Source organism: Homo sapiens, chromosome 6 (assembly GCF_000001405.40).
Source record: "Homo sapiens chromosome 6, GRCh38.p14 Primary Assembly".
NCBI lineage: Eukaryota > Metazoa > Chordata > Mammalia > Primates > Hominidae > Homo > Homo sapiens.
In genome coordinates this window covers 29,098,608-29,124,352 of record NC_000006.12, presented here as the reverse complement: position 1 = coordinate 29,124,352, position 25,745 = coordinate 29,098,608, and the positions used below count along the sequence as shown (strand labels likewise).

The window sequence follows — 25,745 nt, the reverse complement described above, 5'->3', positions numbered from 1 at the left end:
ACTTACCACCATCCCCCATGTTAAGCCATAGAACTCTGATGTGAGTCTCATGTCTCCTTGCAACATTGACGTGGCCTCAATCAGCTTCTCCAGGACCTCTATAAAGTAACACCTCATAGCAGTAAGCAGGTCCTCCATAGCACCAGATCTGCCTTTGGTTGCCAAGACACTATGATTCTACAACAAACTGCAGAGAACACTAGCAGTGTTCTGCTTGGAACCTAAATCTGCACCTAGCAACCAGGACAGCACATCAGTGGGATGCCAATGTGGGAGGATAGATGGGGCTTTCTAAACATTTTCACTATTAGCACATGAAAAATGGGAAACTACAAGGCTCTTGTTGATCCAGGAAGACTGGCCACAGAGACTGTATTCCTTCTAGGCACTGACAAGCAACCCTAAAGTATGAGAGAATTAATGTCATTTCATACATGTGCAATTCAGGAATTACTAGGAACGTGGCAGTAAAGAACTTACATGCCCATATCAATAGTCAAAGTCCTCTTAATGTAAACGTGTCTTTCTGAGGTTCTGCTAGACCTAATACTATTTAAAAATTCAAAGGTTCCTCACCTCAGTATCCAATCTTGTTTTGTTTTGGGTTAGATGAGGGGGATAAGCATGAGAGAGTTGAATTATTGTCATTAAGTTATCGATTTAACTTTCAAATGTAAAAACTCATGAAGGTTGAAGGTAATTTGGGGTTTAGGTTTTTTTAACTTTTATTTTAGGTTCATGGGTATATGTGCAGGTTTGTTATACAGGTAAACTGCGCATCACAGGGGTTTGGAGTACAGATAATTTCATCATCCAGGTAATAAGCATAGTACTCAATAGGTATTTTTTCTGATCTTCTTCCTCCTCCCACCCTCCACCGTCAAGTAGACCCCAGTGCATGTGGTTCACCTTCTAGTATCCATGTGTTCTTATGTTTAGCTCCCACTTATAAGTGAGAACATGTGGTATTTGGCTCTTTTCCATTTAGTTTGCTTAGGATGATGGCCTGCAGCTCCATCCATGGTGCTGCAAAGGAAATGACCTCATTCTTTTTATGACTGCATAGTATTCCATGGGGTCTATGTACCACATTTTCTTTACCCAATCTACTGTTGATGGGCATTTAGGTTGATTTCATGTATTTGCTGTTGTGAACAGTGCTGCAATGAACATACTCGTGCATATGTCTTTATGGTAGAATGATTTATATTCCTTTGGGTATATACCCGCTAATGGGATTGCTTGGTGGAAGAGTAGTTCTGTTTTAAGTTCTTGGAGGAATCATTACACCATTTTCCACAATAGCTAAGGTAATTTACATTCCCACCAGCAGTGTATAAGCATTCCCTTTTCTCCATAACCTTGATGTATCTGTTATTAATAATTTGACTTTTTGATAATAGCCATTCCACCTGGTACGAGATGGTATCTCATTGCGGTTTTGATTTGCATTTCTCTAATGATTAATGATATTGAGCATTTTTTCATATGCTTGGCCGCATGTGTATCTTCTTTTGGAAAGTGTCTGTTTATGTCTTTTGCTGACTTTTAAACGGCATTGTTTCTTTCTTATAAATTTGTTTAAGTTCTTTCTAGATGCCAGATATTAGACCTTTGTCAAATGCATTGTATGCAGATATTTTCTCTCATTTTGTAGACTGTCTGTTTCCACTGTTGATAGTTTCTTTTACTGTGAGAAGTTCTTTAGTTTAAATAGGCCTCATTTGTCAATTTTTGTTTTTGTTGCAATTGCTTTTGGCATCTTCGGCATGAAATCTTGGCCAAGTCCTATGTCCAGAATGATATTTCCTAGGTTATCTTCAGAGTTTTTATATTAACAGTTTTCATTTTTACATTTAAGTCTTTAATTCATCTTGAATTGATTTTTGTATGTGGTGCAAGTTTGGCATCCAGTCTCAATCTTCTGCATGGAGCTAGTCACTTATCTCAGCACCCTTTATAAAATGGGGAGTCCTTTCCCCATTGCTTGTTTTTGTCAGCTTTGTTGAAGATCAGATATTTGTAGATGTGTGGCATTATTTCTGGGTTCTCTATTCTATTCCATTGGTGTATATATCTGTTTTTGTACCGGTATCATGCTGTTCTGGATACTGTAGCCCTCTGGTATCATTTGAGTAAGGTGATGCCTCTAACTTTGTTCTTTTTTCTTAGGATTGCCTTGGCTATTAGGGCTCTTTTTTAATTCCATACAAATTCTAAAATAGTTTTTTTCTAATGCTGTGAACAATGTCATTGGTAGTTTGATAGCAAATTGCATTGAATCTATAAATTGCTTTGGACGGTATGGTCATTGTAATGATACTGATTCTTAGTATCCATCAGCATGGGATGTTTTTTCCATTTCCTTGTGTCACTTCTGATTTCTTTTAGCAGTGTTTTGTAATTGTCATTGTAGAGATGTTTTACCTTTTAGGTTAGCAGTATTTCTAGGTATTTTATTCTTTTTGTGGCAGTTGTGAATGGGATTGCATTCCTGATTTAGGCCTCAGCTTAGATGTTGTTGATGTATGGGAATGCTAAATTTTTGTACATTTATTTTATATCCTGAAACTTATCTAAAGTTGTTTATCAGATCAAGGAGCTTTTGGACCAAGATTATGGGGTTTTCTTTATACAGAATCATGTCTTTTGCTACCAAGAATAGTTTAACTTCTTCTCTTTCTATTTGGATGCCTTTCATTTCTTTCTCTTGCCTGATTGCTCTGGCCAGGACTTCCAGTACTATGTTGAATAGGAGTGGTGAGAGAGGGCATCCATGTCTTGTGCCAGTTTTCAAGGGGAATGCTTCCAGCTTTTGCCCATTCAGTATGATGTTGGCTGTGGGTTTTTTACAGATTGCTCTTATTGTTTTGAAGTATGTTCCTTCAATGCCTAGTTTATTGAGGGTTTTTAACATGAAGGGATGTTGAATTTTATTGAAAGCCTTTTCTGCGTGTATTGAGATAATCATGTGGTTTTTGTTTTCATTTCTGTTTATGTGATGAATCACATGTATTGATTTGCATATGTTGAACCAACCTTTCCTATCAGGGATAAAGCCTACTTGATCATCGTGGGCTTTATCCCTGGGACACAAGGGATCATGGTAGGCTTTTTCCCTGGGATGCAAATGATCACACCCTAATCTGTGGAGCCTGTGATTATACGTTACTTTACATGGCAAAAGGACTTTATAGATGTGATGAAATTCAGAATCTTGAGATGGGGATATTATCCTGGATTAGGCAAGTGAGCTGACACAATCACACGTGTCCATATAAGAGGGAGGCCAGAAGTCAAAGGGAAGATACTCCGCTGCTGACTTTAAATATAGAGGAATGGGCCATGAGCCAAGGAATGTAGGTTACCTCTAGACGATAGAAAAGGTGAGGAAACAGCTATTTCATCAAAAAGCTAAGAAATTAGGTTTTTATGTGCTGTTCGATTTGGTTTGCTAGTATTTTGTTGAGGAGAATCAAGATAATTTGAAAGATTTTCAAATTTCAAGGATTTACACTCCTGCCAAATGACTCCCCAAACCCATAGCCAGTCACTGTTCTTCACCATTGCCTCACTCTCAAGCACAATACAAAAACTTTCCATTTCCTGAGTGGGTAAAGAAATGTGATGTTATAACTAAATAAATATTTGTCAACAATATTACCATGCCTTGGTGTTATCTATTCCATGCATTTCTAGTGAATTGTTCATTAGGAAACCCCAGTACTTTATTCAAAGTTTTTGTCATTTGACCTAAGATAAACAAAGTTATCTATTCCTCCCAAAGAAAAGTGTCAGATATGTTAAGATCGTCTCAGTTTGCCAACAGTAAGAAATTCTTTTTTTTTTTTTTGAGACGGAGTCTCGCTCTGTTGCCCAGGCTGGAGTGCAGTGGCACCGAGCTCCGCCTCCCGGGTTCACACCATTCTCCTGCCTTAGCCTCCCGAGTAGCTGGGACTACAGGCGCCCGCCAACACGCCCAGCTAATTTTTTTGTATTTTTAATAGAGATGGGGTTTCACCGTGTTAGCCAGGATGGTGTGGACCTCCTGACCTTGTGATCTGCCCATCTTGGCCTTAAGAAGTATGGAGACATATAAAAAAGATATATGAGCCAACTGGAAGGGGTCCTCTCTAGCCAAAACAGTGACCATTTCAGCATCAAAATAATGACAGAATGAAATAATAATGCATAAGACCATATTATGATATATAGGTAGACACATAGATAAATAATACCTGATACCCACACGTACACACACACACACACACAGGAAAAAGGAAAGCTATTCCTTCATATAGAATGCCAACTCTATTAGTTTTCCATTGTTGCTATAACAAATTACTACAAATTTGGTGTTTAAAATAACAAAAATATCATGTATCTGGAGATAGGAATACTAAATTGGGTCTACAGGGCTGCATTTCTTCTGTAGGCTTTCAGAGAGAATCTGTTTTCTCAACTACTCCAGCTTCTAGAAGCAACCTGTTTTCCTTGGCTCATGGCCCATTCCTGTTTCTTTAAAGTCAGCAGCAGACTATCTTCTCTCTGACCTCTGGCCTCCCTCTTATATGAACACATATGACTATGTCAGCCCACCTGGCTAATTCAGGATAATAATCCCAACTCAAGGTTCTGAATTTAATCACATCTATAAAAATCCTTTTGCCATGTAAAGTAACATATAATAACAAGTCCCAGAGGTTAGGGTGTGATCATTTGCGACAAGGAGAGGAAGTATTTAGCCTACCACACAAACTAATAAGTTTAGAAGGAATGATGGAACTTTAAGAATCATTATTTGGAAACCACTATAGTAATAATAGTAAAAATTAGTAATAATGGTAATAAAAAATAACGACTGGCCTACATATGGCAGATACTGCCCAGTGGTCTAGGAGAATGACATTGTCGCTGATGTTCTTCATGCACCAATGGCCTGTTAAAGGTACAGTGGCCCAAAACACTTCTCAGCCATTGGTTGAGCCTTGAGGAATTTACAACCTTATGTGAATAAGCATAATTGCTGCAAATATGAAATGTTTGGTTGAGGTATGAGTGACACATTTTAACCTTGAAGGAAAAGTTCTTGTGAACATCCTCAGGACAGTAAGAGAGTAAGATAAATTCAGTGTGGTTCAAATATTAGGTGTTAAAACAAAGAATAGGAGAAAATGAAGACCTTCCCATGACAAGTTGCAAAGAGCCAAGAAATGTACATACTGAATCCTCACCTTCTTGTTTTAAAGAGTTCAGATGTCTATAGGGAGGAACAATTGCCTAGTGATTAAGAACAAACTATGAAGTTAGAAAGCCCACATTTGAATCCAAGCTTCATCACTTACTAGCTCTGTTGTGGTCAGTTTTCTCATGCAGACAATAGAGACTATGATATTACTGTTGCCTCCCAATAGTTATCCCATCTCACCTACACTGTGTAGCATGTGCTTTGGATGAAATTAACCCCACCCCCAGTGCAGGAGCAAGAGTGACTTTATTTTAAATGCTAATCTGCCGTGTAACTTCTGAATAACCCTGAGTCCCTATAAGATGTTAAGTTGATATATTACTCTTTATGTAGGAACATGTATTCACTGTAAGTTTCCTCCAAAACAACCCTTGACGCTGTTGTAGGAAGCATAGTCCATGGCACCTGTAGCTACCTACATGTTTCTTTCAGAGCAAGTATACTTTCCTCAAAAGATAAGCCCTAGATCTGGAGGACTGCAGTGCAAAATCTAACTATGTTGTGGCCACCCAAGACAACATATATGTCTGTAAATTCCTTTAGTAAATCACCCCAAACCAACAAGCTAGATTTGTCTGCCTCCTTCTTTGATTTATCTGCTCTTTGTGCATTTGAGAGATGGCTTTGCATATATGGCCCTTTCACTGAAAACCTGGCTTCAGAAGTGGCCCCCAATTAATCTCAGCCAATCATTGCATTTTCGCCCCTTGTCCCAAACATGTTGCCAGGAATGTGCAGACAACTTATGCGTCAGTATGAAGCTCTGTATAAAGAGCCATTTTTGTTCATTGATTATAGGATGATATTCAACCTCTTGAATGTGAACAAGGAAGCATATAGGCCTGATTATTGCTGACAATGTTTCGTGATTGTGAGGGGAATCAACTTGATGACAAATCCAATACATGGAAGAGGACATAGCTGAGGAAACTGCAGAGATATTGATCCAGAGCACTGATCAAGCTATACCTGAAGCCCACACTACTGCTGAACTTTTTGGTTTTATAAGCAATAAATCCCCCTTATTTGTTAAAAACAATTATTTTGTTAAAGTAAATGGCCGGCCTGCACTCTTCAAAACTATAAGGTGCATTGAAGAGACAGACAGACTGAGGAATGGTTCCCAATTAAAGAGAAAAAAGAGACATCACACTGCCACCTTATGATCCTGGATTAGATACTTTTTTAGGAAATATTCTTGTGACAACCTAGGGGAACATGTGCATTACAGCGTAATAGTTTAGAAAAAAAATTTAAATGCATATTAACATTAGTATAAAGTGAGAATGATAAACCATACATGTTGAAATGCTAAGATTTTTTAAATCTGGTGAAGCTCAATGGTAAGTCTTTCTACTATTTTTATAACTTTTCCATGAGTTTTTTTGTGATTGTTGGATGATACTTGGTATATAATCACTTGTATTTGAAACTTATGTTTGAAATCATGTAGTGTTTTCATAATATATGATCACTAATCACCTTTCCAGCCTCACATATGTAAAATAGGAGATATGAACCTGAGCTACATAGCAGAATACAGACGGAGTGTACCTAGGCTGGAAGCCAGAGCTACTTTCTGTGATTACCTGGATGACATATTTGTGCCAACAATTCTGTACTGCAGAGTTAAAATAAGAAAAGATAATTGAGCATGTATATAAGAATATGCTGCACAGCAACAAGTATAAGATACAGTGGACAAAGACTGGGAGACATCTGTCTGAATGGGGAGGAGAAATTTACAGGGCAAAAGAAGCTGATGCTTCCATGAGGTTAGCCTTCATTCCTATCTGGGAAAAAGCTGGCTTCACTGTTAGTTCTTCAGTAAAGTTGCTTGCCATACAAATTCATGTGTGCTTTGGAAATCCCAGTTCACAAATGTTTTCATAAGGTTTAGGGCTGACAAGGGGAGCATCTCAGGGCTTCTATTTTGCCTTCAGTGTTGTTGACATAGGAATGGGTTGTCAGAGCTAAAAATGTATTGTCCTTACCCTGATTTTTTCACATACAAGTTGCCAGAAGTTATACAAGCCACCTATTTTCTTCCCTTCAGTTTGATAAAGTGAGAAAACTCATTCCTGTTGTCCTATCTGTGATAATACTGCATAAAGTCTGTTCGACTGGTTTGAAAAGTACAAAACAATAAAAACAGTAATACCAGTGTTAATCTTTGGTGGAATTTTTGGTAACTGATCTATTTCTCAGATTACAAATTACACAGCACAGGCTAATATGGCTAGGATTCAACATTAGATATACTATAATTATAACCTCCCAAAAGAAAATGAAAAGTCTATACATATAAAAGAAAATGTATATGTTTTGTAAGAGAAAAAGGAGAAAAGAGCACAGAAAGTTAAAAAGAAAAAAAAAGAATTTAGATAGTGAGAAGTGGTATCAATAAAATGGCAAAATAGGACTTTCCAGTGCCAGTTGGCCCCCCAGGTCAGACTCTGTAGCCCCAAGACCCATGCCAGTACCCAAGGATCTAGCCTCCAGACCAGTACATATAAGCTGGGCCCCATAAACCCGGACTCCAGACCAGCCCCCAAGGCAGTAAGTTCCACTCTAGCACCACACCAGCTCCAGGCTTCAGGGGGATGGTCCCCACTGCTCTAGGCTCCAGTGGACCTAAAGTCCAGGCCCACACCAGTAGATATCACCTCATACCTTACATCAGTTAGAATGTCTATTATGAAAAAAGACAAAGGATAACAGATGTTGAGAAGAATATGCAGAAAAGGGAATCCTTATACACTGTTTTTGGAAATGTAAATTAGGACAGCCATGATGAAAACCACTGTGAAGGTTCCTAAATAAATTAAAAATATTGCCAAACAGGGTGGCTCACAACTGTAATCCCAGCACTTTGGAAGCCGAGGCGGGCAGATCATCCGAGGTCAGGAGTTTGAGACCAGCCTGGCCAACATGGTGAAACCGCATATCTACTAAAAATACAAAAATTACCTCGGTGCAGTGGCACACACCTGTAGTCCCAGCTATTCAGAAGGCTGAGGCAGGAGTATCGCTTGAACCCGGGAGGCAAAGTTTGCAGTGAGCAGAGATCCCACCACTGCACTCCAGCTTGGGAAACAGAGCAAGACTCCATCTCAAAAAATTAAGTTAAATTAAATATATAAAATGCTCATCATCACTGGCCATCAGAGAAATGCAAATCAAAACCACAATGAGATACCATCTTACACCAGTTAGAATGGCAATCATTAAAAAGTCAGGAAACAACAGGTGCTGGAGAGGATGTGGAGAAATAGGAACACTTTTACACTGTTGGTGGGACTGTAAACTAGTTCAACCATTGTGGAAGTCAGTGTGGCGATTCCTCAGGGATCTAGAACTAGAAATACCATTTGACCCAGCCATCCCATTACTGGGTATATACCCAAAGGACTATAAATCATGCTGCTATAAAGACACATGCACACGTATGTTTATTGCAGCATTATTCACAATAGCAAAGACTTGGAACCAACCCAAATGTCCAACAATGATAGACTGGATTAAGAAAATGTGGCACATATACACCATGGAATACTATGCAGCCATAAAAAATGATGAGTTCATGTCCTTTGTAGGGACATGGATGAAATTGGAAATCATCATTCTCAGTAAACTAACGCAAGAACAAAAAACCAAACACTGTGTATTCTCACTCATAGGTGGGAATTGAACAATGAGATCACATGGACACAGGAAGGGGAATATCACACTCTGGGGACTGTGGTGGGGTGGGGGGAGGGGGGAGGGATAGCATTGGGAGATATACCTAATGCTAGATGACGAGTTAGTGGGTGCAGCGCACCAGCATGGCACATGTATACATATGTAACTAACCTGCACAATGTGCACATGTACCCTAAAACTTAAAGTATAATAAAAATAAATAAATAAATAAATAAAAAATAAATAAATAAATAAATATATAAATTAAAAATAAATGAATAAAAATAGAACTACCGTATGATCCATTTGTATATATTCTAGGTATATATCCAAAAGAATTAAATCACTATGTTGAAAAGCTATCTATACACCCATCTTTATGACAGCAAATTCATAATAGCCAAGGTATTGAATCAATCTAAGTGTCTGTCAATGAATGAGTGAATAAAGAAAGTGTAGTATATATATAATAGAATACTATTCTGCCTGAAAACAAGAAGGAAGTCTTAATATTCTCAACAACATGGCAAACCTGAAGACATTTTGCTAAGTAAAATAAGCCAGGCACAGAAAAACAAATACTGCATGATCTCATATGTGAAATCGACATAAAATGAATCATAGAAGCACAGAGTAGCAGAAAGATGCTTGTCAGGGGTTAGCAGTGGAGAGAAATAGGGAAAATGGGGAGATATTGGTCAAAGGGTACAAAGTTTCAGATGGAAGGAACAAATTCAAGAGATCTATTCTACGGTATGGTGACTATAGCTAATAATACTGTACTGCATAGTTGAAAACTGCTAAGATAATAGATCCTAAATGTTCTCACCACAAAACAGGTAAGTATGTGAGTTAATGATCTGTTAATTAGCTTGAGTAATAATTGCATAATTATGCATATGTCAAAACATTATGCTGTATATTATAAATAAATACATTTTTTTCACTTATCCTTAATAAAGATGGGGAGGGGGGGGATATTTGAGTAGGTGAGAAACCAGGATGCTACCGTAAGTGCTCCAAATCGTAAGATTTCCATAGTAGAAAACAGTTCAAAGGGCGAAGTTATGTTCTTTAAGTTTTTAAAAATGTGTTTTTATGTGATGTTTTACCGTATGTGGTCCCAATTCTTGCTAAAAGTCATTTTACATACATTATTCTTGGTTCTTCACTTCTTGGGTAAGGTTAAGGACAAGGGCACATGCCTCATATTTTTCATGCCTAGTTAGAAATAAAGGAAGAGTCAGAGATGCAGAAGGAAGATAAAGTCAGCAGAATCAATGCAATTGCAAGTCACACTAGAAATTGGAGGGAAGTTCTGAGATGCGTTTTTATTTTTATAATAATTTAGGAAATAGTGTGTGAATCAATCATATCTAAATCTCACAGGCCTCAAAAGCTACAGCTGACATTTGAGTTATAGAGAAAACTCAGGCATTGCAAGTACGTTACTTTATACTGAATTCTCCTTTAGCCATTTTTCCGCTTCATTTGACTATGACTGTCAGTTTAAATTGCTCTAGGTATAGCGCAATTATTTCAAACGAAGATGGTTGACAATAATATATAAAACAAAATGATTACTTCTATAAAATAGATTTCTTTATTTGAAACACATATATTGACATACATAATATACTTATTAACCATAAATACTCAAATTAGATCAAGCTTTAAAATAAAAATAAGCTATCATTTTCCATATGACAGTTTCTATCATAAAATTTTTCCAATATATTTTCACATAATTCTTTCATACACCCATTGGCTTCAAGTCATTTTCAGAGCCTCTCTATTTGCCTCAAATGTTTTCCTTAGTTCCTTAGGTAATGCAGTTGCTCCAAGCACTTACCTCACCTAAGTATACCTAGCCTATGATGACCATTTGTTTATAAGCTCCATAGCTCAGCTTTACCAGCTCCTTTTACTTCCTATATATTTCTCACTGCCTTGCAAAAAAGAGGGATCTCAGATGCTGACTTCTGCTATACTGTTTCAAAGCCTCTCTTACTACAATTCATAAAACTTATTGTTCTACTATTGATACTGGATATGAAAGAATATGGACCAAAATTCCTCTCAAAATTTACTATCCGACAAAGAATAAGCATTGTTGGAGAAAAGGATTTGAAGTATTTTGCTGTGTATTTAACTAAACTAAAGATAGAAGACAAAAGTATTCTGCCCAAAAAGCAAGAAATTAAAAGACATATTGTAGAGATTTTTAAATTGAGAGTATCATCTTTTCATAGGATTTACAGCTTCGCTTTTATCAAGATTTACAACAAATTTCATGCCTTATTTTCAATCGAGAAATGTCTGTCTTGGATACATTAGGTTTGTACCATGGAAAAACATCACTATAGATGTTTTATCTTGATTTTACATAGCTGTTTTCTCCACAAGTGAATGGTATTTAGGCTGACTGTGTTTTATTCCTACCTGTTACCAGGAACTCCACGACCTTGTTAGAGTACATGCTCAGCAAGTGCTAACAGAGTGAGTGAATAAAAGAATGGTTGATAAATAAATAGAAGGATGAATCATTGTGAGGGGAGACTCTGTTATATTGTTAATATGACACATACACAGGCTCATTCCCACCCCATTAGTCTCTTCACTGCCCCTCTTACAACTTTGTTTCTGAGGGTGTAGATTAGAGGGTTAAGACTAGGTGTGACAACAGTATAAAAGAGGGCAATGAACTTGCCTTGATCTTGAGAATTTCCTGATGGTGGCTGGAGATACATGCACATGGCCGGAATGAAAAAGAGAGATACAGCCATAAGATGAGCTCCACATGTTCCAAACACTTTCTGAAGCCCAGTGGTTGACTGCATCCTCAGTATAGCTCGGACGATGGCACCATAAGAAGTGAGAATGAGGATGAGAGGTATGAGAACAAATATGGAGCTTGTGATCATGAGGGTCAGCTCATTGACATGGGTATCAACACACGATAATCGCAGAAGTGCTGGAACTTCACAGAAAAAGTGATCTACTTGGCGGTGTCCACACAGAGGTACCCAGAAGGTGAAGGAGGAATGAAGTGCTGAGTTGGTAAAACCACTTACCCAAGAAGCCACAGCCAGCAGGTGGCAGAAACGAGGGTGCATGAGGACAGTGTAATGCAAAGGTCTACACACAGCTGCATAACGGTCATAGGACATCACCACCAGTAGGACACACTCTGTGGTTCCCAGTGCGAGAACAAAGTAAAGTTGAATCATGCAACCAGCATAAGAGATGGTCTTTTCCGGGCCCCAGAGATTGACCAGCAACTGAGGGATAGAGCTGGTGGTGTAGCAGAGATCCAGAAATGAGAGGTTTGAAAGGAAGAAGTACATTGGTGTGTGCAGATGGGAGTCCAGGTATGACAGGATGATGATGAACAGGTTTCCTATCAGTGTCATCAAGTAGAAGATCAAGACAACCACAAAGATAACTACTTCCAGATGAGGCCAATTAGAAAATCCAACTAAAATAAAGTACCCCTCAGAGCTAGCATTGACTTTTCCATCATCATTCATTTCCTATTACCTGAGAGAAAAAAAAGAAAGGTAAACTCAAAAAACGAGTAAACAAATGATCCAAAAATATCAGCACACATGAATAAAAAATAAAAGCCAGTTTGAAGGGCTTGCCATCATTTAATTGTAGGACAATTTAACCATTAGTAGTAATGAATTTAACAAAAGAAGAATTATAAAGCTCATACTGATATAAAAAGTAAAAGAATAAATAAATGAATGGTGAAGATAAAGCTATTCCTTACAGTAGATCCCTAATTAACAAATATAGAAGGGGTGACGGTGTTAAGAAAAACATAAATGATTGCAAAAACTAGTGGATAAAAATTTGATGGGGAACAGAATATGTACAAATATCTAAAATAGTCTAAAATATCTCCTCACAACTTTCTAGTTAATTTCAAACTGAAAAACAGTAAAGTTTGTAGTAGAAAAACCTGTCAGACACCACCATAACCAGTGATTTTATTGATCTTAAGATCAACTGTATTTGCACAAACCAACATCATGAGCCTGCTGTGATGATGCTCTGAACAGGACATGCTGTCACTTCAGTGATATTTGTGTTAAAAATTCTAATAATGAAGACTAATTCTAATAATGAAGACACATGAGAAAAACTCAAATTGAGAGAAATAGCTTGCCTATACAATTCAGAAAAGTATCAAGTTTAAGTAGAAAAACAAAGGGTGAGGAACTGGTCCAGATGAAAAGAGACTAGTGAGATGTGATTTCTCAGTGTACAATCCTGGATTTTTTCAAAAACTAGCTATTAACAAAATTATTGAGACAATTTAAGAAATCTCAGTGTGGACTATGGATTAGATAATAATATTGTGCCCATATTAAGTTTGCTGATTTGGGTACTGTGCTGGACTTATGTAAAGTAACATCCTTTTCCTTAGACAAAAAACACTGAATAAAGTATTTGGCATAAAGGAACGTGTCATCTCCAACTTACTCTCAACTAGCCCAGAAAAAGAGATAGATAGGTAGATAGATAGATAGATAGATAGATAGATAGATAGATAGATAAATAGATAGATAGTTGATAGATGATATAACAAAGCTTTGGGGGAAAATGTAAACTAATACTCAATCTGGTAAAAGGGTAAATGTTAGTCTTTTGTACTACTTTTTTGCAACTCTTCTCTAAGTTTGAAATTTTACCATAATAAAAAGTCACAAAAATACAAAATAATTTTTTAATTTTATATTTTATTTAGATGTTTGCCTTATTATAGAAAAATAACTATCAAGTTCTCATTCATTTTAGGGTGACATCTAGGTAAATGGTAATTGAAGGAAATTCCTAACCTAGCTAAGGAAGATAATTTCCATAAAACACAAAATCTTTCTTTGTTAATAAATAAGGAACTTTAGTTTTCTTTTCAGCATTTTCAGGTTATTTTCTTAAATGTGATTGTGGAAAACGTAATCATTGCAATCACAATAATCTTACATATGGATGAAAAGATATGTGGAAAATATTGAATTTAGTCATTTCAAAATGTTCGCCTAAAGAAAAAATGTTTAGCTTCAATTAGATAAGAATCTTATCTTGTGATTTGTTTACTTGGACTCAAAATGTATTTCTAAACTGAAAAATTGAATACAAGTAGAGAAGACACAGACACTTGCTCATCAATATATGGGTATTCATGATACGAACTAAGCTAAAAATCTGGGGAGAACAGTGATAGAATGCTTTCTAAAGGATGTGTGACTACAACTGAATTTGAAAAGATTCAAACTTTACAGAAAGGAAAGGAAGATAAAAATTCAGTGAGAGAACAGAGAAGGAAGGAAAAGTGGGAGGGGCAGGAAAATGGAGGAGAACCTGAGTGTAGTTCTTAGAGTTGCAGGTGTGTCTATCACAGCGTTCAAGAAGCTGAACCACAGGGCCTGAAGAAGGTTTCTACATGATGTATTTTTCTCCAGGACAATAATTTAGATAGTATATAAATTCTGAGCATGAGCTATAATTAGTACATATTTATTCTCCAAGTTAGAGAGTTCTGAATATTTAATGAATCATTAAGTGGCTGTTCATCATTTAATACATTGTGCCCAGTGAATCTCATGTTACTTTTTTTGTTAAAAATAAAATATATCTTACAAATAGTTATGACTCCTAGGTGATGCTTTTTCTCCAGTGAGTTTTCAATCTTTCATAGAAAAAAATGATACTTATTTTTGTTATATAGTTATTGTGTCAGGCATAGCAACCCACCATTTAAATACCCCATTTTCTCTGAATTCTTTGCCTCTTCCAGCTTTGCCACATGCCCTCTATTTCATTCCTTCCACAGTCAGTTATTTTTCTTATACCTCCCAATTGGCTATGGCACAGGAAGAAAGAAATCATTGTGGGGCCACCTGTGATTGCCTCTTTTAGGGGTCTCTTAATCGCTCATGTTTTATAAATTCAATGCCTGAAAGAAATGTCAGGAGTAGCTAATTGGTTGAGTTTCAGCAGAAAAGTTTGGAACATTCAGTTTGGTCCCAAGATTAAAAGATTGACCTCAGACCTTTTAACAGACTTGGTAATGTAAATAATCATTAGCCAGTTGTTACACTAATCTAGATTACTTTCAACAACTTAAACAACCATCCAGGAAAATCAGTCTGCACATTGTTTTAAAAGAAAATTTTAAAAGCTATAGCTGAATCAAAAAGCAGCAATAGTCAAAGAGTAAATCATGAAGATTACTTGACTTAGAGGTCACAGCCCTTGAGGGAAGATGAAAATTTTCCAAGAGATTTTTAAAAATTTCTCTAGAATAGGAGATAATACATCATGAGAAATATGAACACAAATGTTATAGTTACCTTCTCTCATGCAGATAAAATTTTCTTCTTTCTTGTACAGTTGCCTCGATAATTTATTACATTAACTAAAACAACATTTAGCTGTGAGATACCTTTGCCAATTGCATGACCCATCTTTGAGCAATCTTACATAGAGAGGTTAGAATGAGATATGAGATAAGAAGCAAACAAACAAAAACTTACCAGATGCAAGCAAGGAAAAGGTAGGAATTTTTCTGGGTTAATTTTCTTCTTCCTGGTGGAGCAGAAAATAAAAGCCTTATCAAAAGTTAAAAGCCTTATCAAAAGCCATATCAAAAGTTTAAGTTATCCTTAACACAAAGAAAGGATAAATGCTTGAGGTGATGGATACCCCATTTAGCCTGCTGTGATTATTACACATTGTATGCCTGTATCAAAAATACCTGGGTCGGGTGCCGTGGCTCACACCTGTAATCCTGACACTTTGGGAGGCCAAGGTGGGTGGATCTCTGGAGCCCAGAAGTTCGAGACTAGCCTGGGCAATGAAGTGAGACCATGTCTCTACAAAAAATAAAAAGAAAGAAATTATCAAAAAAAATCTCATGTACCCCATAAATGCATACACCTATTGTGTACCCACAAAAATTAAAAGTTAAAAGTTGCTTTCATGGACTAGGAATAAGTGATCCTCTCTAGTTTTGGAAATCAGGTATAACGGAGGGAGAAAATAATCTCTTTTCCCCATCCCCATGTCACTGGCCAAGTTTTTTTATTCTTACCATAATATTTCTTTATATATTACCTAGTACTTAAGCAGTACTCAAACAATGCCTTTCACTCTGTCCTTCCTGTATCTGTCCACATTCCCTGTATATTGTCTTCCTAGCTGATGCCCTCATCATGCACAGACTGATCTGATCTCTGATTTTGATCACCTTGAAATCACCAACATAAATGCCTACACTTCCCTCATCTACTACATCAATTAGGAAAACAGTCTGAATGTAGCTATGACTATCATTGCTACAGAAGAGAAAGCTCTGAGTCTACTAAAAAAATTTAGTTTTACCCAAAAGATAAACTTATTAGAGCTTTCAGTGTATCAAGGGATGGGTCTTTATCTTAGAGTCAATGGGCCCTTTTTGGAAACAAAAGAATGTGACTTGCTTTCCTTGACTTGGGCCACTGGGAGGGTAAATCCCAAAGTAGCAATTAATGCCCTTCAAGGAGTTATCCTGGTTAGAACAGTTTCTCAGTGATGTTCTTGGCATGATGCCACATTGTTGTACGAGGATGACAAGGAATCTATAGTCCAGCCATAGCAGAGAAAAATACTTTGAGCTGTATCTGCAGGGAAGGGAATGGGTTATCTTGAGTTACCTGAAACCTCTTCCCCAATTCTTCAGTATGCTAGAGGCCAAATTTGAGATATAGCTTGTTAGGTAGTCTAATTTGGGAATGGGAAAAGGCATGAAACATTTTTTAAAAGGAAATATAATGACTACATTATACATATTTGTTTTATTAATTTGAATTTTTAATTGTGTCTAACATCTCTAAAATTCAAGGCCAAGTTCAGCCCTGCAAAAGTGTTAAAAATTACCTTTGAAGACCATTCAAACTATACTCAGAAGGTCACTACCAAACTCAGAAAACTTTTAACAAAATTATTTAATATTTCCAAAATATTGTTATCAATAATTTCTTTTGATGTCTTGTTAAAAGCTTTGCAGAAATATATAAAAAAGCTAAATTAGCTGTGATAGCTAGCCTACATCCCATGTTTAAAAAAAAAAGCACATCGTGAGTTTATAAACTAATGAAGATTTTTCAATTGTTACATTGTGTCTAGGTGATATATTCCATGTGTACCAGACAAAGTCTTGGTATGAAAATCAAGTCACATTTACAATACAATTATATTTTAAAGTCAGTACTTTTAAGAGCATGATCAGGTATTTTCCTGTCCACTTATGTGAAGCAACTGAAAACAGTCTTGGCTTCAGTAGTCTTGATTGTTGTGAAAACTCCATGTGAAAAATACGTAAACATTATCCTCGATGCCTAGTGCATAATCATTCAATACATGTTAGCTGCTATTACCATTATAGTGAATTTTAATTTGAAGTGATATTTTAACAAGTCATTCTATATTATTTCTTCATCCTTTATTTTAGATATTTAAAATATTAAAAATAAACCCTTATGTTCCCATCATTCAGAATCATCAACCATAACTTTTGTCATTTTTATTTTCAGAATTTTTAGCACATAAAGTATCACAGATAAAGTTCATATCCCCTTCAACTGTCACTCTCTGACCCAACACTAAATCCAGAGACAACTACCATGAGCTTGGTATATATCATTCCAGTTTACTTTAAAATATATTAAATATTATTTTTAAGATAAATATGATTAAATAGTCATATAATCATATGTCTAAACTTCTCTATCTTATTGGAGAGGAATTTGACCAGTGATCCTACAACCTGTGGGGACTAGCAGAATTCAATCAGTTATCAAAATCCAGGAAATGTCTGATATCCTGGTCTGTAGGAGATTGTACCAAGCTCCAATATTTTTCATGTTTTGGTAACTAGAATTGTAGGAGAGTTTTTGGCCCCTGCCAATCTACTGGGTGCCAGCAAATGTTAACATTTTTAGGTGTGATGTTAGTAACTTGTGAAAATACAGCTGGCATAACATGATTTAATTACAGCAAAGTATTTCTAAGGAAGCAACCCTCAACTTTTTTCTCTACAATACACACTCAGATAAATAAAACACATTGAAAGTCACATCTGAGGAATCAAAAGGAATAAAAGACACTAAATGATCTCTGTTGAGCTTCTGTTAATTTGAGTGCTTTGTATGGGAGGAATGTGAATTAGAGTAGATCACAAACTATTAAAGCATTGTAGATGGGAAGCTCAGTTGGAGTTAAGGCCTAGAAAATTCACATATACAACATGGAGTACTATGCAGCCATCGAAAAGGATGTGTTCATGTCCTTTGCAGGGACATGGATGAAGCTGGAAGCCATCATTCTCAGCAAACTATCACAAGAACAGAAAACCAAACACCACATGTTCTCACGCATAGGTGGGCATTGAACAATGAGAACAGTTGGACCTGGGGGGAAACATCATACACCAGGGCCTGTGGGGGCGGTGGGGGGGATGCGGGAGGGATAGCATTAGGAGAAATACCTAATGTAAATGATTAATTGATGGATGCAGCAAACCAACATGGCACATGTATACCTACGTAACAAACCTGCACGTTGTGCACATGTACCCTAGAACTTAAATAATAATAAAATAAAATAAAACAGACGATGGAAAAAAATCAGTCATATTTCTATACAATTTATAGTGGTATCTAAAAACATGAAATACATAGAGGTGACTTTAACAAAATATGGACAATAGCTATACAATGAAAACCTCAAATGCTTCTGAAAGAAAATAAGATGTAAGTAAATGGAGATCTATATCATGTCCCCAGATCAGAAAAGTCAATGTTGTCAAGTTGCCAGTTCTTCTCCAATTGGTCTATAAATTCAATGCAATCCCCAATCAAAATGCCACCAGGCTTTTTCTGTGGAAATGACACACTGTATTTTATTAAAGTTAAAATTTTTCTCTTTGAAAGATATGACAGTATTCTATTTGCAAAAGATTTGTTTGACCAAGGACTTGAGTTCAGAGTATACAAAGAACTTCAAATTCAACAATAAGAAGACAAATGACCCAATTTTTAAAGTGAGTAAAATATTTGAACAGAAGCTACACAAAATAACATATATGAAGCATATGAAAAGCACACAAGAGGATGGTCAATGTCAACACCCCTCAATGCAAATTATAGCCACAGGTAACCTAACTTGAGAGGTGAAAAGTATAAAAACTGACAATACCAAGTATTAGAAAGAATGTGAGTTCATTTGGAACTCTCATACACTGCTGTTTGAAGTGAAAATAGAACAGCCACTTGAAAACATTTTTGCAGTATCTCATAAAGATAATATACACTAAGCATGTGGTCCTCCTGGAGAGGTACAAATAAAAGGTATTTACCCAAATTAAGTGAAAACATGCATCCACACAAACACTTGTATACAAATTTTCATAGCAGCATTATTCATAATAGCCAAAAATTTTAAATACTCCCAAAGCCCTTCACAGATAAATGGATAAATTGTCGCACATTCGTACAATGGAGTTCTAACAAGCAATAAAAAGGAAAAAGTAACTGATACATGTGGCAACATAATAAATGTCAAAAACATCATGCTAAATGAAACAAGCCACACCCAAAGATTACACACTGCATGATTGCAATTATTTGAAATTCTAAAAGTGGGAAAAACCAAGTACATTTAGAGAAAATTAATGCTGCCTCAGGCTATGACTAAAAGGGGAAAGTTGACTACAAAACGGAAGTTCTTTGGGGAGTAATAGAAATGTCCTATAATCTTGATTGTGGTGGCATTTACACAATTATACATTTGTCAAACTCACTGAACTATTCTTTCAATTTGATATTGAGAAACCTGTCTTTGAGACTCAAATTTGCCATTTATTAGTGCGTGCATTTAGACAAGACTACTTAATCTCTCTGAGACTCAATTTCCTAATCTTTAACATAGGAACAATAATGTTTATATCTTATTTTTCTTTTGTTTCAAGAGGCTAATAGTCAACAAAGCTTTAGGGTTTCTATGATGACCAAAATTCTAATGAAACAAAATATATTAATGTGCTTTATAAGTTGTGTAGTACTGTTACAGTATAAAGGATTATAATTATACACTTTTTCCGATAGCTTATTAAATCCAATATTTGATGTCTAACAAAAATACAATAAAAAGAAAATATAAAAAAATTCATTGAACTATATACTTAAAATGTGTAGATTTCTTTGTACATAAATTATACTTCAATAAATTTGAAAAGAAAAGAGTCTTGTAGATCTTGAGAAGCTGGAGTGACACATGACATATTACAAATGGTAAGATTTCCACGGAGGCAGGAGGAATCTATGTTCTCATATTTTGTGAAGTCTGTGTGAGATGTGATGTGATCCCAATAATCCCACTGGGTACTTATCCAAGAAAAATGAAGTAAGTATTCCGAAGAGGTATCTATGCCCCCATGTTCATTGCAGCACTATTCATGACAGCCAAGATGAAGAAACAACCTAAGCATCCATTGATGGAGGAATGGATAAAGAAAATGTGATCTCATACACACACACACACACACACACACAGCGAGAAATATTATTCAGCCAATAAAAAGAAAATCCTGCCATTTGTTATAACATGGATGAACTGGAGGATATTGTGCTAAGTGAAATAAACCACACACAGAAAGACAAAAGATGTATGATAACACTTACATGTGGAATCTAAAAAAATTGAACTCGGATAGGAACAGTGGCTCACGCCTGTCATCCCAGCACTTTGGGAGGCCAAGGCAGGTGGATCATTTCAGGTCAGGGGTTCAAGACCAGCCTGGCCAACATGGTGAGAACTAGTTTCTACTAAAATACAAAAATTAGCTGGGCGTGGTGGCGGGTGCCTGTAGTCCCAGCTACTGGGGAGGCTGAGGCAGGAGAGTTGCTTGAAGCCGGGAGGCAGAGGTTGCAGTGAGCCAAGATCGCACCACTGCACTCCAGCCTGTGTGACAGAGTGAGACCGTGTATCAAAAAAATTAAAAAACTGAACCCATAGAAGCAGAGAATAGAATGGTGGTTGCCATGGGCTGGAGGGTGGGAAGTGGAGAGACAGCCAAATGGTACAAACTTTCTGTCATAAGATGAATACATTCTGGAGATCTAATGTAGATTATGGTGACTATAGTTAATAATACTGTACTGTATACTTGAAATTTGCTTAGAGATTAGATCTTAAGTGTCCTGACCCTCCCCGCTCCCCCTACACACAGTAACGATGTGAGATGATGGATGTGTTAATTTGACTGTGGTAATAATTTCACAATTTGGTTTGATTTATATATAATCACATTGTGCACATTAAATATATGTTATTTTATTTGTGCCTCAGTAAAGCTGGAAAAAATAAAATCAAAATAAAGAAATTTTTTTAATAATGCTATTCAGCAAAGAACAAGGATGTTAAGAGTTTTAAGCTATCTTTAATATGTCATTAACTAGGCCAACTAAAGCAAATTAAGCACATATTCTGCTTTGTTTCATTTAATAGCACTGTCTTCCTACAGGAGCTATGAATTTATTATCAGAGTTTATTATCAAACTTATTGTTTTGCTTTCGATTTTTAAAAAGTGAAAGATGTATACAATCTGAAGAGTAATCAGAGTATATTGTTTCTGATTTTTAAAAGCTATCTTAATTTATTAGCATTAACCCCAGTGACAAATTAAGCCATGTACAGATACTTCATCTTTTATCTTATGTTGCCATTTTTCCCGATAGAGAGTGCATTCTGTTCAGACAAAGTATGTTATATTTATACATGTTACCAAGAATTTCACAAACTGGGAGAGAGTACATGTCCAGTAAGATTTAGCTAATGAAGAATAAGTTAATGAATAAATGGACAGATGAACGAATCAGCCATTTTAAAGAGATATTAGTTTACTGTTCAATGTGACAAGAATGCAGACCTACAGGATAAATTATATAATTTAGTGTCTTTAAAAAGTGAACTTCAACCAAAAAATTATGACATATCCTTTACCATATAATAAATGGTGTTATTCATTATGTTTACTATTTTTCTTTGCTGTGACTATTTTTAGCTTCATTTAAGGTTTATTTAATAACCAAAAACTTCTTCAGCCTACATCTTTGCAATATTGCCCTTCTCTTCCTATACATATCAATGGTCAGTTCATAATTTAGCACATTGTCAGAAATATTGCCAATATTTTTTAAATAATCTCCTCATAATTATTCACACACACATTTATTTATGTTGAAACCACAGTCCACAATTTTCATGGAAATAAATATAGAATTGTAAAAGAACAAAATGGTACTAATCAAAACCTTTATCTCAACATAATATTTCAGAACTAAATATTAAACAGAGCAACAAATGGGGGAACTGAACTATTCCATGTTTTGTGAGCTGTTAGATGAAACACAAATCACAAAGAAGCAGGGAAACAACCTTTCAAAATGGATAAGACCCTAGGAAAAACAACAGCCAACATGATTTCCCTGTCACATCCCCCATTCCCACCCCATTAGTCTCTTCACTGCCCCTCTTACATCCTTGTTTCTGAAAGTGTAGATTAGAGGGTTAAGACTAGGTGTGACAACAGTGTAAAAGAGGGCAATGAACTTGCCTTGATCTTGAGAATTTTCTGATGGTGGCTGGAGATACATGCACATGACTGGAATGAAAAAGAGAGATACAACCATAAGATGGGCTCCACATGTCCTAAGCACTTTCTGAAGCCCAGTGGTTGATTGCATGCTCAGTACAGCCCGGGCAATGGCACCATAGGAAGTGAGGATGAGGATGAGAGGTATGAGAACAAATATGGAGCTCATGACCATGAGGGTCAGCTCATTTGCCTGGGTATCAACACATGATAATCGCAGAAGTGCTGGAACTTCACAGAAGAAGTGATCCACTAGGCGATGTCTACATAGGGGTATCCAGAAAGTAAAGGAGGAATGAAGTGCTGAGGTTGTAAAACCACTTACCCAAGAAGCCGCAGCCAACAAGCGGCAGAAACGAGGGTGCATGAGGACAGTGTAATGCAAAGGTCTACACACAGCTGCATAACGATCATAGGACATCACCACCAGTAGGACACACTCTGCGGTTCCCAGTGCGAGAACAAAGTAAAGTTGAACCGTACAACCAGCATAAGAGATGGTCTTTTCCGGGCCCCAGAGATTCACCAGCAACTGAGGGATAGAGCTGGTGGTGTAGCAGAGATCCAGAAATGAGAGATTTGAAAGGAAGAAGTACATGGGAGTGTGGAGATGGGAGTCCAGGTATGACAGGATGATGATGAACAGGTTTCCTATCAGTGTTATCAAGTAGAAGATCAAGATAACCACAAAGAGAACTACTTCCAGATGAGGCCAGTTAGAAAATCCAAGTAGAAGAAAGAAGTCTTCAAAACTTGCATTTTTTTTCATCAACATTCTTATTTTTCCTGTACCTAAAGAAAGAATCGCATAAACTCAAAGTCTGTCCATGCATTGCCAACTGCTCACTTGCAAACAGATTGGAGAAAAAAGTATCCCAATTCCAGATAGTGTGCACCATTATGGCAGTAGAATTTTTATACAGTTTCCTTTGTATGCTTCATTGAGATATTTGTCCAGCTGTGGATACAAGTAATAGCTTTTCAAGTTACTGAGTTCTTTTATATACATCCTTGAGTTAACATTTGGATAAATGAAGACTAAGATATTCCATAATCAGAAAGACAATATTTAAGAAAATAATTTTTTATTTTAAAAAGTTAAATTGATTTTTTTTTGCATTTTCAGACTATTTCCAATTTTGCAGTTACAGAGAAAGGAATAACTGCAGCCATAATAATCTTACTTATAGATAGGAACTTCCCATGTTAAAGAGCAATTAGGTAGTCACTTTAAAATATTAATATGAACTGAAAAGAAATAATTGGATATGATTATAGAAAGAATTAAATGATATTCATTTATTTATGCTAGCAGTTTATTTCTAGACGAATAAAATAACATGCAAATGAAGGTTTAAACAGACATGCACACACACACCAACTTATAAAAATTCACAATATAAGCAAAGCTGATTAATAAAGTGAAATAGAGTAGAGATATCAGTGATAGAGTGCTTCCAAAGTTACATGGGGGTATAATTATTATTGGAAGACAGAAAGATTACAGAGTCTAACAAAAACACCGGGAGGTGTAAGAGAGAAAGGAAGAGTGCTTTGAGGCACAACAGTGAAGAGGAGGTCAGAATGTGGCATTTGAAATTGAAAGAATGTATAACACAGGATTGTTAGACAGGGACAAGAAGACTTAAATGTGGTTTCTAAAAAATTTTATATGCTTTAGGCCAATAACTGAACTATACTTTAAATTCTGAGTCACAACTTGTATTTCTGGGTTTTCTTCAATATTCCTAAATAGCATTGCCATCCCCCTTCTGCTCCCCTCCTGCCACAGCCAACTCTTCCTCTCATACTCTCTGATAAAATATGACAAAAGACAAATTTATTTACACCCAACTCACCTTCAGTGTTTTGAAAAACTTTTAACAACTCAAATATTCTAATCTTGACTCTTGAAAAAGATGTAAGGGTTTGCCTAATTAGTTGAGTTACAGCTGGAGAGCTAGGAACGTTGAACTTGGGCCAAGTCTGTGCAGATGCTCCAGACAGGTACAAAGATATCTGTACACTTTTCCATATTGTTGATAATGAAATGATCATTACCTTTTGAGAAATCATGGAAAAATTGCAAGAATTTTTTTAAAAATTTCGCTAGGTTGAAAGGTAATATTCTGTAAGATACTTGAACTCAAATGTTGTGGATACTTTTGCTAATGCAGGTATAATTTTCTTTCCTAATGCAGCTGCCTGACTTCCTTACTACAGTAATTAAAAGGTGAAATCTGATATTTTTCTGTTGTATAAACCATCTTTCAGCATTCTTCCAGAGTCGATAAAAAGGATAGGAAATAAGGGACAAAAAAAAAAAAAAACCCAGAACTCACGTAGAGAAAAGTTTGCAGCTTCGATTTTCTTCTTGGAGGAAAAGAGGGAAATGAAGACCCTATCAAATGTAGCTTTTATGAACTATGGAATAAAATATCTTCTCTCTTCTTTTAAATCAAACACTGTAGGGAAAATGGATGGCTGAGTGTCTCTTCTTTCCCCAATTATTACTAAGAGACATTTTCCCAATTCGTGTCATATTCATTCCTTTATACTATATCTGGTTTGTTTTCTTACTTTTTCATTGACTAGTAATAATTGTATATATGTATGGAGTACATTGTAATGTTTTGATATGTATATACATCATAGAATGATTATATTAAGCTAGTTAATGTACCTATCACCTCACACACATCATTTTTTTGTAGTAAGAACATTTAAAATCTACACTTCCTGCAATTTTGAAATACAGAAGCTGTACACCCCTTAAGAAGTGCGCCAACTTCTTTCAGTACTGACCTTCCTGTGTTTGTCCCTGTTCCCTGTCACTCTCTACCTGGCCTACGACCTCATCATGTATAAACTGATGAAGGGGCTCTCTGGTTGCCATGCAACCTAGAAACATCAACCTAATTGCCTTCTTATAACATTTTTGCCAATGTTTTAAATCTAACTATGGAGAACAGAGTCTGGAAATAACTGTGATTGTCATTGCTACAGAAAAGAGAGCCTGAGTTTGTCCAAAAGATCTGCTTTTTAGCAGAATGTGGGAATACTTTAGAGCATTCAAGGTATCAGGGGATGGACCCTTTATCCCAGAGTAA

At 36.2% G+C, this 25,745-nt stretch overlaps 2 protein-coding genes across 2 annotated transcripts; both read right to left on the bottom strand.

Annotated features, from left to right (window-relative positions):
* OR2J3 (olfactory receptor family 2 subfamily J member 3) lies at positions 9,583-16,295 on the bottom strand. The gene is made up of 4 exons (NM_001005216.4): positions 16,058-16,295; positions 15,699-15,816; positions 15,478-15,529; positions 9,583-12,472 (listed from the first exon to the last, which is right to left on the bottom strand). The coding sequence occupies exon 4, from the start codon at positions 12,460-12,462 to the stop codon at positions 11,527-11,529; it is 936 nt and encodes a 311-aa protein (NP_001005216.2). The 5' UTR covers positions 12,463-12,472; positions 15,478-15,529; positions 15,699-15,816; positions 16,058-16,295; the 3' UTR covers positions 9,583-11,526.
* OR2J1 (olfactory receptor family 2 subfamily J member 1) lies at positions 21,652-24,863 on the bottom strand. Its single transcript, NM_001348294.2, has 2 exons — positions 24,495-24,863; positions 21,652-23,593 (listed from the first exon to the last, which is right to left on the bottom strand). The coding sequence occupies exon 2, from the start codon at positions 23,408-23,410 to the stop codon at positions 22,472-22,474; it is 939 nt and encodes a 312-aa protein (NP_001335223.1). The 5' UTR covers positions 23,411-23,593; positions 24,495-24,863; the 3' UTR covers positions 21,652-22,471.
* Between the last annotated feature and the right edge of the window lie 882 nt (positions 24,864-25,745).